At 49.9% G+C, this 13,125-nt stretch overlaps 1 protein-coding gene across 13 annotated transcripts in view, besides 3 other annotated features; it reads right to left on the bottom strand.

Annotated features, from left to right (window-relative positions):
- Positions 1-840: 840 nt before the first annotated feature.
- Positions 841-13,125, bottom strand: part of NUP85 (nucleoporin 85) — a 30,080-nt gene continuing 17,795 nt past the window's right edge. For 3 of the 13 annotated variants that reach the window (NM_024844.5, NM_001303276.2, XM_047436777.1), the window contains 12 exons: positions 11,362-11,496; positions 11,135-11,257; positions 10,770-10,901; positions 10,442-10,548; positions 5,176-5,259; positions 4,961-5,026; positions 4,620-4,771; positions 3,631-3,748; positions 3,441-3,541; positions 1,811-1,962; positions 1,398-1,499; positions 841-1,021 (listed from right to left, as the gene is read on the bottom strand). In NM_024844.5, coding sequence (NP_079120.1) covers positions 920-1,021; positions 1,398-1,499; positions 1,811-1,962; positions 3,441-3,541; positions 3,631-3,748; positions 4,620-4,771; positions 4,961-5,026; positions 5,176-5,259; positions 10,442-10,548; positions 10,770-10,901; positions 11,135-11,257; positions 11,362-11,496 — 1,374 coding nt within the window. In that variant the 3' untranslated portion in view covers positions 841-919. Of the gene's footprint in view, positions 1,022-1,396; positions 1,500-1,810; positions 1,963-3,440; positions 3,542-3,630; positions 3,749-4,619; positions 4,772-4,960; positions 5,027-5,175; positions 5,260-7,467; positions 9,855-10,440; positions 10,577-10,769; positions 10,902-11,134; positions 11,258-11,361; positions 11,497-13,125 lie in introns of those variants that run through there. The other 10 variants (NM_001330472.2, XM_047436776.1, XM_047436779.1 and 7 more) reach the window with 10 other exon arrangements.
- Positions 1,785-1,948: a silencer, noted in NCBI's record as "fragment chr17:73230746-73230909 (GRCh37/hg19 assembly coordinates)". NCBI's record gives its function as "represses an EF-1alpha promoter that drives an FKBP-Casp9 reporter gene in an ReSE screen in K562 erythroleukemia cells {active_cell/tissue: K562}" and the evidence as "EXISTENCE:reporter gene assay evidence [ECO:0000049][PMID:32094911]".
- Positions 9,945-11,144: an enhancer, noted in NCBI's record as "CDK7 strongly-dependent group 2 enhancer chr17:73221550-73222749 (GRCh37/hg19 assembly coordinates)". NCBI's record gives its function as "activates an origin of replication core promoter dependent on BRD2, BRD4, P300/CBP, MED14 and CDK7 cofactors, with strong dependence on CDK7, by STARR-seq in HCT116 cells {active_cell/tissue: HCT116}" and the evidence as "EXISTENCE:reporter gene assay evidence [ECO:0000049][PMID:35650434]".
- Positions 11,408-11,909: an enhancer, noted in NCBI's record as "H3K4me1 hESC enhancer chr17:73220785-73221286 (GRCh37/hg19 assembly coordinates)". NCBI's record gives its function as "activates a minimal SCP1, AML or CMV promoter by ChIP-STARR-seq in primed H9 embryonic stem cells {active_cell/tissue: H9 hESC(primed)}" and the evidence as "EXISTENCE:reporter gene assay evidence [ECO:0000049][PMID:30033119]".

The following is a 13,125-nucleotide window of genomic DNA, read 5'->3' as shown; positions in this document are numbered from 1 at the left end:
CTTGGAATCTTCCTAGTATAGACGCCATTCACCCTGATGGAGGAAAAGGTACCACCTATGAATTCTAGATATACATGAGGACAGCCTATGATAGAACTGCCCAAGGTTTTTGTTAAAAGTGCGGGTTCCTGTACGCTTATATTTTAAGGGAACTAAATAACCAAAATGTTAAGTGTTCCAGAAGAGGTGAGGCAAGATTTCAGAAGCACAAGTATACCACCAAGCGTTCTTGTTCAGACTTCCAAGACACTGCAGTCACCACAACTTTGGGGTTTTTTTTTTTTTTTTTTTTAAACAGAGATGGAGTCTCCCTATGTTGCCCAGGTTGGTCTCAAACTCCTGGGGTTGAGGGATCCTCCCAAAGTGCTGGGATTACAGGACGTGAGCCACTGCACCCGACCTGGGGGGTGATTTCTTATCTAAGGAGGCACAGGAAGACAGTTGCGTATCAGAACATAAAACAAGGCCGGGTGTGGTGGTTCACGCCTGTAATCCCAGCACTGTGAGAGGCCAAGGCGGGCAGATCACAAGGTCAGGAGTTTGAGATCAGTCTGGCCAACACAGTGAAACCCCATCTCTACTAAAAATACAAAAAAATTAGCTGGGTATGGTGTGCACTTATAATCCCAGCTACTTGGGAGGCTGAGGCAGGAGAATCACGTGAACCCTGGAGGCGGAGGTTGCAGTGAGCTGAGATCGTGCCATTGCACTCCAGGCCAGGCAACAGTGCAAGACTCCGTCTCAAAAAAAAAAGAACATAAAACAAGCATTTTTTAATCTCTTACCACCTCAGGTTCAGACTAGACAGATAAAAAATTCCCTGGGTGGACTCTAAGAACCTACATTTGCAAAACAACATTTATTCTTTTAAAAAAATCTATATACATTGCCATACAAAGATACCACATTGAAGCAGTTCTCAGGAACCTTCCAGTGAGCCTTCTCTTATAATTGCCCGAGCAAGATTTCGTGCCAGAGAAAGTCTCAGCATTTCCACCTTGGTGGTCTCTATGTCATCATCCTGCAAAGCAGAGAGCGCCAGCATGAGCTAAGAGCAGGAAGGAGCCCTTTCACACTCCCGAAGGGTCTAGCTAATCCAAAGGTAGAGGGCACTTAACATTCATAGTAGCTTCCAGCAAATTATCGATGTAAAAGAAAGCAATACCAAAGGGCCATACTGGAAATGATGAACAGCAAAGAACAAAATGTAGAGATGAGAACACTAGAATCCCTGATTTTCTCCTAAAAGAAGGTGGTGTGTGAATTACACAGGTTAAGGGGAACAGAGGCACATGTGTCCATAGGAGCCAGTGTTTCTGGAGGGAAGGGGAAGCCTGAGATAGAGGGAGCCTTTTCCCACCTCCATGTGGAACCATCAACCCAAAAGTGAAAATGACCTGGAGCTGCTCGGTATCAGATTCTCCATGCACAGGTCTTCTTGACGTCAAGTCCTCCAGACACCGCATCAACTCATAAGTCTGTTCTGCTGAGAAAATCACCTAGGGAAGAGAGCCTGCCTTGCTTGGCTGCCCCCAGCCCTGGCCTGCATTGGTTGGGGCAGGGGCCCATGTTCGGACGTTCTTCCTTTCATACCCTTCGCAATAGTGTGCTTTGTATACGAATACCTCATTTCAAATCAAGCAGTGTTTGTTTCCTGTGTGAGTCTGGAATCCCAGAGAGGGCGCTAAGGGGAATACACGCGCACAGGCAGAACGACAAAGGAGGAAACACGCACATCGGCAACAGCTATACAACTAAGCTCTAGCAGGGACTGACAAGCAAAGAAAACCACTGCTGCTGCAACCTTCACCTGTTTCTGTTCCAAAAGGGGCAAGGCGTCTGTCAGCAGAGTCATCCAGAAAGACCGAGGGGCAATCCGAGACGTCATCAAGGACAGAAGGAGAGAAGCTGCGTCGGCAAAACGCTTCTCCCCGTACATACGGTGGAACTCGCGATACTTTCCTATGGCGAAACAAGAGCACTGAGTAACCTGCATATTCCCCCAAATTGCCCAAGTGACACCTACAAAAGTCACCCTGGCCCTAAACAGGAGAAGAAAAACCTCAGACCAGCCACTCCACAAAGCAGGAGATTTTTTTCTGTCTCCAAACTCATAGGTCCCAATGAGATGCAGACCAAGAGCATTCAAAACAGACTTGGAAGAACTCCGAAGAGCCAAATCTGGGGAAACATCAGAGTCAAAATACATAACAAGAGTCATGGATTAAAAGAGATTGACTAGGCCAGGCGTGGTGGCTCATGCCTATGCCTGTAACCCCAGCACTTTGGGAGGCCGAGTCAGGTGGATCACCTGAGGTCAGGAGTTTGAGACCAACCTGGCCAACATGGTGAAACCCCATTTCTACTAAAAATACAAAAATTAGCCGGGTATGGTGGCATGCACCTGTAGTCCCAGCTACTCAGGAGGCTGAGGAGGAAGAATGGCTTGAACCCGGGAGGTGGAGGTTGCAGTGAGCCAAGATTGTACCACTGCACTCCAGCGTGGGCGACAGAGTGAGACTCCGTCTCAAAAAAAAAAAAAAAAAGAAGAAACATGGAGGCACTGGCCAGGCACAGTAGCTCACACCTGTAATCCCAGCACTTTGGGAGGCCGAGGCGGGCGGATCACTTGAGGTCAGGAGTTCCAGACCAGCCTGACCAACATGGTGAAACCCCATCTCTACTAAAAATACAAAAATTAGGCGGGGCGCAGTGGCTCACGCCTGTAATCCCAGCACTTTGGGAGGCCGAGGCAGGCGGATCACAAGGTCAGGAGATCAAGACCATCCTGGCTAACACGGTGAAACCCCATCTCTACTAAAAATACAAAAAATTAGCTGGGTGTGGTGGCGTGCGCCTGTAGTCCCAGCTACTTGGGAGGCTGAGGCAGGAGAATTGCTTGGACCCGGGAGGCGGGGGTTGCAGTGAGCCGAGATCACGCCACTGCACTCCAGCCCGGGTGACAGAGTGAGACTCTGTCCCCAAAAAATAAATAAATAAAATACAAAAATTAGCCAGGTGTGGTTCCGCGTGCCTGTAATCCCAGCTACTTGGGAGGCTGAGGCACGAGAATTGCTTGAAGTCAGGAGGTGGAGGTTGCAGTGAGCCTGGCAGCCTGGGCCACAGAGCGAGTAAGATTCTGTCTCAAAAAAAAAAAAAAAGAAAAAATAAAAGAAAAGAAGAAAGAAAGAAAGAGAAAGAGAAAGAGAAAGAAAGAGAGAAAGAAAGAAAAACAAACAAACAAACAAACAAACATGGAGGCACTAAGGAGATGTGACAGCCAAACTCATGATCCTGGACATGACGGAGGATGTTTCTGGGACCACTGATGCAATGGGAATACATGAAGGAAGCGCTGGGAGAAGTCTGACGTGATCCCTCCAACCTCCCCAACTACCCACTTGTGCCCAAAGCACAGGGCACAAAACCCAGAGACTCACCCAGGAATGTCAGTCGGTCACTGAGCATCATGGCTGGCCCCAGGTTGTCAATGAGATCCAAATCAGAAAAGCAGCCTCGCTCACAGTAATCCCTGAGGAACCTGCAGGGCCCGGCCCAGAGATCAGAGCAGCAGTCTCAGGCCCACCTCAACCACCCAGTCCCTGGGAAGCCAACACTAGCGGCACCCACCTGTCTGACACGAGCGTGGCAAAGGCGGCATCCTTAGCACGGATGCTCCAAGAGAGGGCAGAACCCAGGCGATTGTTGCGGACGGCTTTCATGGCTAAGATCTTACAAATGCTGCGAACTTTGCAGGGGAAAAGAAAAGGTAAACGGCTTTCACTCCACAAATCACTCCATTCCTGAGCCCTGTGGGGACCGGAGTGGCCTCACAGCCTCACTCCACCGCAGAGCCACTCTTTGGGCTCTAAATGCAGCTGGATCGGCAGAGCTGGAAACTCGGCTGATTAACAGTGTCTGGGATCTGCTAAGAGTGTAAGTGCCCATCACGGCAAGACTGGCTCTATGAGTGTGTGTGGCTTCAAGGGGAGCAAAACGTTGCTCCCTACATGTCAGCTCTTCTATTTTTTTTCTCCCTACGTGTTTCTCCCTACGTGTCAGCTCTTCTATTACCTCTCCAGATGCCTCAAATCACATCTTCCTGTGGATCGTGAATACCATATGCTTTCAGAAATGGTCGTGAACATGCAACTGCCTCTCTGCAGGGTAATAACTCATGTTTACATTACTCAACAGTGAGGGGAGAAATGAAGGGGCAGACTTGGTCATCCTCATTCCACTCTCTCTGCTTTTCTGGAGCCACCTCCAGCACTGCTTCCCCATTGAGCCAGGCTGAGCTAGCAATAGCAACCCACCTGGACAGGGAAACAGCGCCAACCCCAGCCCTGACCTCGTGGAATCAAGTGTGTGAGAAAAGGGGCGGCTCAGGCCTTTCCAGATGGCGTGTAGATTTTGTCTGGGTTCCAGTGGATCCCTAGCTTTCCTGTCCCTCCCAAGTAATTATCCCATCTCTTAGTTTACCTCTTGGCGTCCACAGCCCCACGTCTCCAGTGTGGCTCGTGAGGAGGAGGATGGCTGGGGTAGGCATAAAGTGTGACCTCAGGATCCCCTGACTCCTGCGTCCCACAGACAGTAGGCTGGGAGCAGGGCCAGCTCACCTTGTTCAGTCATCTGCCGCTGCTCACAGATCCGCAGCACCTTCAGGGCTTTCTGCTCGGTGTTCAGAGGTATCCGCTCAATGTGCAGCTCCAGGGAGACTCGGCCCAGCTCGGGGCAGTAATCAAAGTAATCGACCCCCAGCTGCCACAGGCTGCAAAGGTTCGAGGAGGACAGACATGAGGTGCTGCCTCATGGCTCCGAGGACTGGCACCTACAGCTCCCTTTCACTGACCCTTCCGAAGCCTTCAAGGAGCCAACTGGGAGAGAACAGTCCAAGCTCCAATGGCACCCGCATGCTGAAGAGCACCCGCATAGCCCACACCCATGGGGTCCTTCCTACCTGGGATGAGCAAACAGTCCCGAGGCGTACTCCAGCAGGAGGAACTCTCTCATGTTGGAACCGAAACTGGAATAAAACATAACAAAAGACCAAGACTCCTGGCCTGCCCTGTTCAGGGCCCCCTTAGCCCAACCTCCCTTTCAGGCATTCAGTTCACACCACCCTCGGGGGCCTGGTGGTAAGAAGAGGAGGATCGGTGCCTCCCGGCCACTTACTAGAGGTTGTGTGACTGGAGGAGCTTGCAGTGGTCCAGCAGGTCTGTCAGGTGGGCCACAAACCACCAGTTGCTCAGGGCGATGCTGCAGATTCAGACACCAAGGCAAGAAGGAAAATCAGGGCACAGGCCGCGTCCCACAAGAGTGGGGGTGAGCAAGAAACCCCACATGTCCTGTCCCTCAAAGAGATGGGGCCGGGCGTGATGATAGCTCATGCCCGTGATCCCAGTACTTTGGGAGGCCAAGGCAGGCAGATCACCTGAGTCCAGGAATTTAAGACCAGCCTGGGCAACATGGCAAAACCCCATCTCTACAAATACAAAAATTAGCCAGGCATGGTGGCACACACCTGTAATCCCAGCTACTCGAGAAGCTGGGGTGGGAGTATTGCTTGAGCCTGGGAAGCAGAGGCTGCAATCGGCCGAGATCACGCCACCGCACTCCAACTTGGGTGAGAGAGCACAACCATATCTCAAAAAAAAAAAAATCGCTCAGAAAGTAGTTGAGGTGGAGTCTTGCTCTGTCACCCAGACGGGAGTGCACTGGTGAGATCTCGACTCACTGCAACCTCTGCCTCCCAGGTTCAAGCAATTCTCATGCCTCAGCCTCTTCAGTAGCTGAGATTACAGGCATGCGCTACCACACCCAGCTAGAAAGTAGCTTTTGAATGTTCTCACCACACGCACACCAAAAGGGTCACTATGTGAGGTGACAGATGTCACTAGCTTAATTTCACAATGTATACATCTATCAAAACATGTTGTTGGCCGGGCGCGGTAGCTCACACCTGTAATCCCAGCACTTTGGGAGGCCGAGGTGGGAGGATCATGAGGTCAGGAAATCAAGACCATCTTCGCTAACACGGTGAAACCCCATCTCTACAAAAAGTACAAAAAATTAGCCGGATGTTGTGGCGGACACCTGTAGTCCCAGCTACTCTGGAGGCTGAGGCAGGAGAATGGCGTGAACCTAGGAGGCGGGGCTTGCAGTGAGACGAGATCGCGCCATTGTACTCCGGCCTGGGCGACAAAGTGAGACTCCATCTCAAAAAAAAAAAAAAACAAAAAACATGTTGTACACCTTGGCCGGGTGCAGTGGCTCATTCCTGTAATCCCAACACTGAAAGGCCGAGGCGGGTGGATCACTTGAGCTCAGGAGTTCAAGACCAGCCTGGCCAAAATGGCAAAACCCCATCTCCACCAAAAATACAAAAGTTAGCTGGGCGTGGTGGCGTGTGCCTGTGGTCCCAGCTACTCGGAAGGCTGAGGCAGAAGATCGCTTGAGCCCAGGAGGCAGAGGCTGCAGTGAGCTGAGATCGTGCCACTGCACTCCAGCCTGAGTGACAGGGCAAGACTCTGTCTCCAAAAAAAAAAAAAAAATTTTGTACACCTTAAATACATACTACTTTGTTAATCACACCTCAATAAAGCTGGGGAAAAAAATGGGAGGGAGTGGGCTGGGCCAGGGGAAAGGACACCTCAGCTTCCCAAAACAGCTGTTGCTACCCAGATTTCTAGCTGATGGTTATGTCGAAACCATTGGAGAAGCCAGTGAAAAGGCTATAGGGGACCCAGGCTAAGGGAGCCAAAGCCTTAGCCTGCACGAAAGCCACCAACAACTGGAAGGAAGGGCTGAGACAGTGCCCGGTGTCTTCCCAAAGGATCCAGCAGCCTCCAAGGCTGGAAGGCAGCAAGCACTGAGAGCAGAGAACTAACAACACAACTCAAGTGACGGAGACCAGACATAGTGCTGCACAAAGCCACCACGGTCTCTCTACAGGGCCCAGCAGGCCTGAACCACACAGTTAGGTCTTAGATCACACACGCACACACTCCCACTCTCACTCTGTCTCTCTCTCACTCTGAAGGATTCTGAGTGAGCAGCCGAGACACAGAGCAGGTGGGCATCCTTAACATTCAAGGCAAGAAAGGCCTAATTATCAGCTCCAAAGTAGCCCTCTGCTGAAAACGAGAGAACGCTGCGGAGTTGGGAAGACCAGCTACGGTGAAGGTGACCCCTCTAAGCAACTGTAGCCCCAAATGAGCTGTTTGTCCTGTACTAAGGTCACTGTCAACTCCTTACCCAGGCCCCATCTTGCTTGTTGGGGGCTCTGGAGTAATCAAAGCTCCAGTGCCTCTACCTGCTATTCTGGAAATGGGGTGTGAGGTTTGTAAACACTGCTGCACCCTGCATCCAAGATTGTGGGCTGGGCCAAAATACAAGTCAGAAGATTCTAGATTCAGCAGACATTAAGCTGGAACTCTTCTTGGTTATTGAAGGAAGACTTGTCACCTTTTAGCTCGATACTTTTGGAGGACTTGAAGGGCACCAGGAAACTGCCGACATCTTGCCCAACTCCCAGTGAAGTGCACCCCAGCTGTTTCCTCTTGCCAGACAGCAAGGAACTGGCCCGTCTTCAGAGGAAGCTGTAAGCCAGGAGGGAAGAAGGGACCCTGTGGAGGACTCCTGCCATCTCCTTTCAGCTAAGGGGTTAGCAGTCAAGCATGCCCACCCAGGCACTGAGAGACAAACCCCTGGCCCTTTAGCAGGGCTGACGAACTACAGCCTCTGAGTCAGGATCCCCTGGCTGCCTTTTCTGCCCCTTAGGGTCTGGCACGATTATTGACATAGGAGTAAATCAGGGGCCCACTTAGAAACCTCCCTTCTCCATGTTCATATGAAGGTGGTGTGAACAGGAAAGGAAAAAAAAGAAAGAAACCTTTTTTCTAATGCCTTTAAAAAGGCATGCCAACAGCTCACTGGCTCAAGTCCAGAAAGAGACACACTTCCCTGCCGCCCAGAACTGTGCATGGGTCTGACTGATACATCCCATGAGAAAACAAGTGCCCACAAGACCCCAATTCAACCTTTCCCCAGAGCCAGGAGGGCACACTTCCTAAAACTGCTACTGCCTCTGAAGACATTGCAGCCCATTTCACAATTCCTGGGACAAGCTCTGCTTTTCTGTTCCTCTTTCAAAACAGGATAGGAGGTAGCCTCGTGATCAGAGAAATGCAAACTCCAAGATTTCCCACTAACAGAGCTCAGATCCCTTCCTGCTTGTGAGAGTGGAGAGAGGCTGAGACTGGGGGACTGCAAGCCTAATCATTCCTTGTCTGTGTCCGGCACGAGAGTGATGTTGTTCACCCCTCTTCATGGTACTTCTCTTTCTCTTCTGCCACTGGAAACAGCAGGATGCTTTCCCCTTTTATACTCCCTGCATCCAACAGACTTCTTCTGCTCAAATCTGTTTTATTCCTAAAAATCCAGATACAGGGCTTATAAATTAGGAAGCCCTGGTGAAACTCACTCACTGTTATAACACAGGAAATTTAGAATACTCAACTATGGGCAGAGACACCAACAAAGCCAAACGATGGTGTGTTTGTGTGTTTTTAAGTTATTCTCACTAATTCTTCCATGCAGGGACTTCTCACAATGTTTACAGGCCTGTGAAAATATTGACACAAAACTTGACTTTCAGGCCGGGCATGGTGGCTTACGCCTGTAATCCTAGCACTGTGGGAGGCCAAGACAGGCAGATCGCTTGAGCTCACAAGTTCAAGAACAGCTTGGGCAACATAGTGAAACCTCATCTCTCCAAAAAAAAAAATAATAATTAGCCAGGCATGGTGGCGCACACTTGTAGTCCTAGCTACCTGGAAGGCTGAGGCAAGAGGATCACTTGAACCCAGGAGGTCAAGGCTGCAGTGAGCTGAGATCACTCCACTGCACTCCAGCCCGGGTGACAAAGTGAGACCCTGTTTCAAAAAAAAAAAACTTGGCAGGGCGCGGTGGCTCACGCCTGTAATCCCAGCACTTTGGGAGGCCGAGATGGGCAGATGACCTGAGGTCAGGAGTTCCAGACCAGCCTGCCTAGGCAACATGGTGAAACCCTGTCTCTATTGAAAAACACAAAAATTTGCTGGGCGTGGTGACGGACACCTGTAATCCCAGCTACTTGGGAGACTGAGGCAGTAGAATTGCTGGAACCCAGTAGGTGGAGGTTGCAGTGAGCCAAGATCACGCCACTGCACTCCAGTCTGGGTGACAAGAGCAAAACTCTGTCTCAAAAAAAAAAAAAAAAAAAAAAAAAACCCAGAAACAAACACACAAAAAACTTGTTTTTCATTCCCCAAATCTAGTATCATTTTCTTGAAGCCCTGGCATTCTTTTGGCCAAAACAAGAAAAGCAGGTAGGGCGAAGGAAACTCTTCCCATGCCCAGATCTACAAACAGCCAGTTGAGGTCAGTGAATCTGACACCTGATCAAGGCCATCTTCTGCCATTACCCACTTCCTCCCTTCCCAGCACGTCTTCAGTGCAATGCCCACCATCCAGGGTGCACAACAAGGAAGGGGACCTTCTTTCTGACTTACCATATATGGAGAGTTCTGGAAAGGTTTACCTTTGATTGATTATGTTTGGCACTCCCTTTCCTGCCTTGCTAAAGATTCAGTGCAATCATAGAACACCCTCTTTTGGATAGAGGGCTGGAAATTCTGAATAATACCCAGCCTGAAGCCCAGTGGTTCGGTAGCTCACGTCACTGGAGTGAGACTCTTGGAACACGCCATCCCATAAGGTGTCCATTAGGTGCCAAGAAACAGGCTTGCTGGCTTTTTCTAGATTTTAAATGTCAAAGTAGTTTCCCGCGATGTTATTTTAAATGAACATCCCTGAAATGGAAACAGTTATGTATATGGTAGCCCTCAAGCCTCCAGGAAGTCCCTAAGCTCACCCAGAGAAAAGCCATTATCTACCTGTGGCAAGTCAAGCAGGGGAGCAGATGCTATGGTTTGAAGGGATCCCCTCTAAAACCCCAGTTTTGCCAATGTGATAGTATTAAGAGGTAGGGCCTCTAAGAGGTGATTAGGCCAGGAGGTGATTAGGCCACATCCTCCCTCATGAATGTGATTGGGTGCCCTTATAAAGCGACTTGATGAAGGGAGTTTGTCCTTCTTGCCCTTCCACCACATGAGAACACAGTGTTCAAGGTGCCATGTTGGAAGCAGAGAGCAGCCCTCACCAGCAACATTGCCAGTGCCCTGATCCTGGACTTCCTAGCCTCCAGAACGGTGAGAAAATAATCTTTTTCTTTATAAATTATCTGGTCTCAGGTATTCTGTAATATCAGCGTGAGATGGACTAAGATAGCAGGTCTGAGGGAAGAAGGGTAAGGAAGGAACAGGCCACTCTAGAAACGCAAGGTGGTGATATTTGTACACCTAAAAATGGTTACAGTGGGGGGTGGGAGAGATCCTACCTGCACTCTTTGATTACTTGATGGATGTCAAACTCAAAGGCTGCCAACAAGATGTTGTCCAGGGGTTCTGGGCTGCTCTCACCTCCCAGAAACAGGTCCAGGCTGGACTGTGGAAAGGTGATGAGACACTCAATCCTGAGGACGGAAGCAGAGACTCGGGGCAGGCAGGGCTGCTGTATAACGAACCCCAGAGAAGGTGCCTTGTTCTTTCACTAAGGGCCAAAGGAAAGGGTCTTCCTGTTCCTCAGGGAGGAATTCAAAGAGAATGACCCATCAGGGCGCCCCCAGGACTCCTACCCCCACCCTTGCCCACCCCGAGCTCACTCACCTGGGCATAGTAGTGCAGATCAATGGGTTTTACTGTGGGATTGGAGTACAAGAGCCGAGTCACTAGGAAATGATACCAATTACTCAGAAGTTCCTTCTGCTCTAACAAGGCAGCTTCGTCTCCCAGCATAATCTGAGGAGAGACATTTGTGCTGAACTCTGTCCTCCTCTCAGGGGTACCTTCTCCATAATGCTCCTGCTCTCAGCTAAGGGCACCGGATTTCAACTAGTCTGAAAGCTCTCGCCATCACGGCAGAGCGACAGACAGCCCTATCCAAGGAGGACCAAGCTCCTGCCACTGCTGCACTGGATGCCACAGCCCCCATAGGAAGCCAACATGGATGCAATCTGAACTGCTTCCCAGACCTTCAAGAGAGACTCCAGGTGAGGGCTGGTGGCGAATGTGCTGTCCTGGAGGTACCGCTCACATTCCTCGTGCCAGTGCTGCCACTTCAGCTCCAGCTCTGTCAGTGTCTGGGTGTTCCCGGGCTAAGGGAGAGACCAGCCATGAGACGTCATCCCATCCACACCCTTTATATTTAGTGAATCACGCATCTCCTGTGACCCAGCAGAGCAAAGCTACCCCCACGTACACTAAGAATGGGCATTGTCCTCATCAGGTCCCCCATGATTCGGCATATGCCTGCAGAGGCGGGGCTGGCATCGGCTTCCTTGGAGAGCATCTGTCGGGCCTCATCCAGCCGGCCCTGCAGCACCAAGATGGTCACCTGGGAGGAGATCCGGGCCCATAAGCATTGGCAGGAGGCCTGGCCCTGCCGAGGCGTGAGGAGGCCAGTCCCCTCACCCCACACTTTGGCTTTTTAACTCTTCACACACAGGCTTCTTTCTGCACCTGAGTCTGCCCTGGGAAGAATGATGGCTCTTTCCCTCCAGAAGTAATCTATCACATCCAATCTCATGGCTTTGTCACCTCCACTATGTTTTTCAAACAGCCAGCTGTAGTCCATTATAGCCTGTGACCACCTTTTTTTTTTTTTTTTCCAGAGTTCCCCTCTTGTTGCCCAGGCTGGAGTGCAATGGCATAATCTCGGCTCACTGCAACCTCCACTTCCCGGGTTCAAGCGATTCTCCTGTCTCAACCTCCCGAGTAGCTGAGATTACAGGCGCATGCCATCACGCCCAGCTAATTTTTGTGTTTTTAGTAAAGATGGGGTTTCACCATATTGGCCAGGCTGGTCTCGAACTCCTGACCTCAAGTGATTCCCCGCCTCGGCCTCCCAAAGTGTTGGGATTACAGGCGTGAGCCACCACGCTCAGCCCCAGCTTTTCAAAAATGAAAGAAACAGAAAAACATGTTCCTCTACCTGCTTCCCCCCACCCCTTCTCCACCATCATGGTGTGTGCTGTTGATTATTTCTCCCACCATCTTCTCACAAAATGTCCAGGATCATGCAATTCCTGGCCAAGAAACAAAAGCAAAATCGTCCCATTCACCAGTGGATTCAGATTAAAACTGGTAATACAGGGCTGGGCGTGGTGGCTCACAGCTGTAATCCCAGCACTTTGGGAGGCCAAGACGGGCAGATCACAAAGTCAGAAGATCGAGACCATCCTGGTTAACATGGTGAAACCCCATCTCTACTAAAAATACAAAAAATTAGCCAGGCGTGGTGGCAGGCGCCTGTAGTCCCAGCTACTTGGGAGGCTAAGGCAGGAGAATCGCTTGAATCTGGGCGGCGGAGGTTGCAGTGAGCTGAGATTGTGCCACTGCACTCCAGCCTGGATGACAGAGTGAGACTCCATCTCAAAAAAACAAAACAAAACAAAATAAAACAAAATTGCTAATACAGTTAGCTACAACCCCAAGAGGAGGGACTGGAGAAGAACCAAGCTGGGTCTGCCAGGAATTACACATGAGATGAGTCTACACGTAAGACTATCATCTTATCACATCAAGCTGAAACTGTCACCACTATCTGGAAAGGTGGACATACTTTGTTGAGAAAATGGTTTTTCTCTGATTATAAGCTCTACAATAGTAGGTTGGTTCAATAATAAATATGTGAGAAGTTTTGTTTGGAAAAAAATTAAAATGAAATAATATAAAATATCAGAATGCATTAAATAAAATGGTTCATAAAAGTTTCAGTTCAAATATAAATATGTAAAATAAATACACTCAGGCCAGGCGTGGTGGCTCACGTCTGTAATTCCAGCACTTTGGGAGGCCGAGACGGGTGGATCACCTGAGGTCAGGAGTTCAAGACCAGCCTGGTCAACATGGTGAAACCCTGTTTCTACTAAAAATACAAAAATTAGCCGGGCGTGATGGTGCATGCCTGTAGTCCCAGCTACTCGGGAGGCTGAGGAACAAGAATCATTTGAACCCGGGAGGC

This window comes from Homo sapiens, chromosome 17, assembly GCF_000001405.40.
Source record: "Homo sapiens chromosome 17, GRCh38.p14 Primary Assembly".
In the NCBI taxonomy this organism is placed as follows: domain Eukaryota; kingdom Metazoa; phylum Chordata; class Mammalia; order Primates; family Hominidae; genus Homo; species Homo sapiens.
Note: the sequence above shows the minus strand (reverse complement) of the source record. Positions and strands in the feature narration are given on the sequence as shown.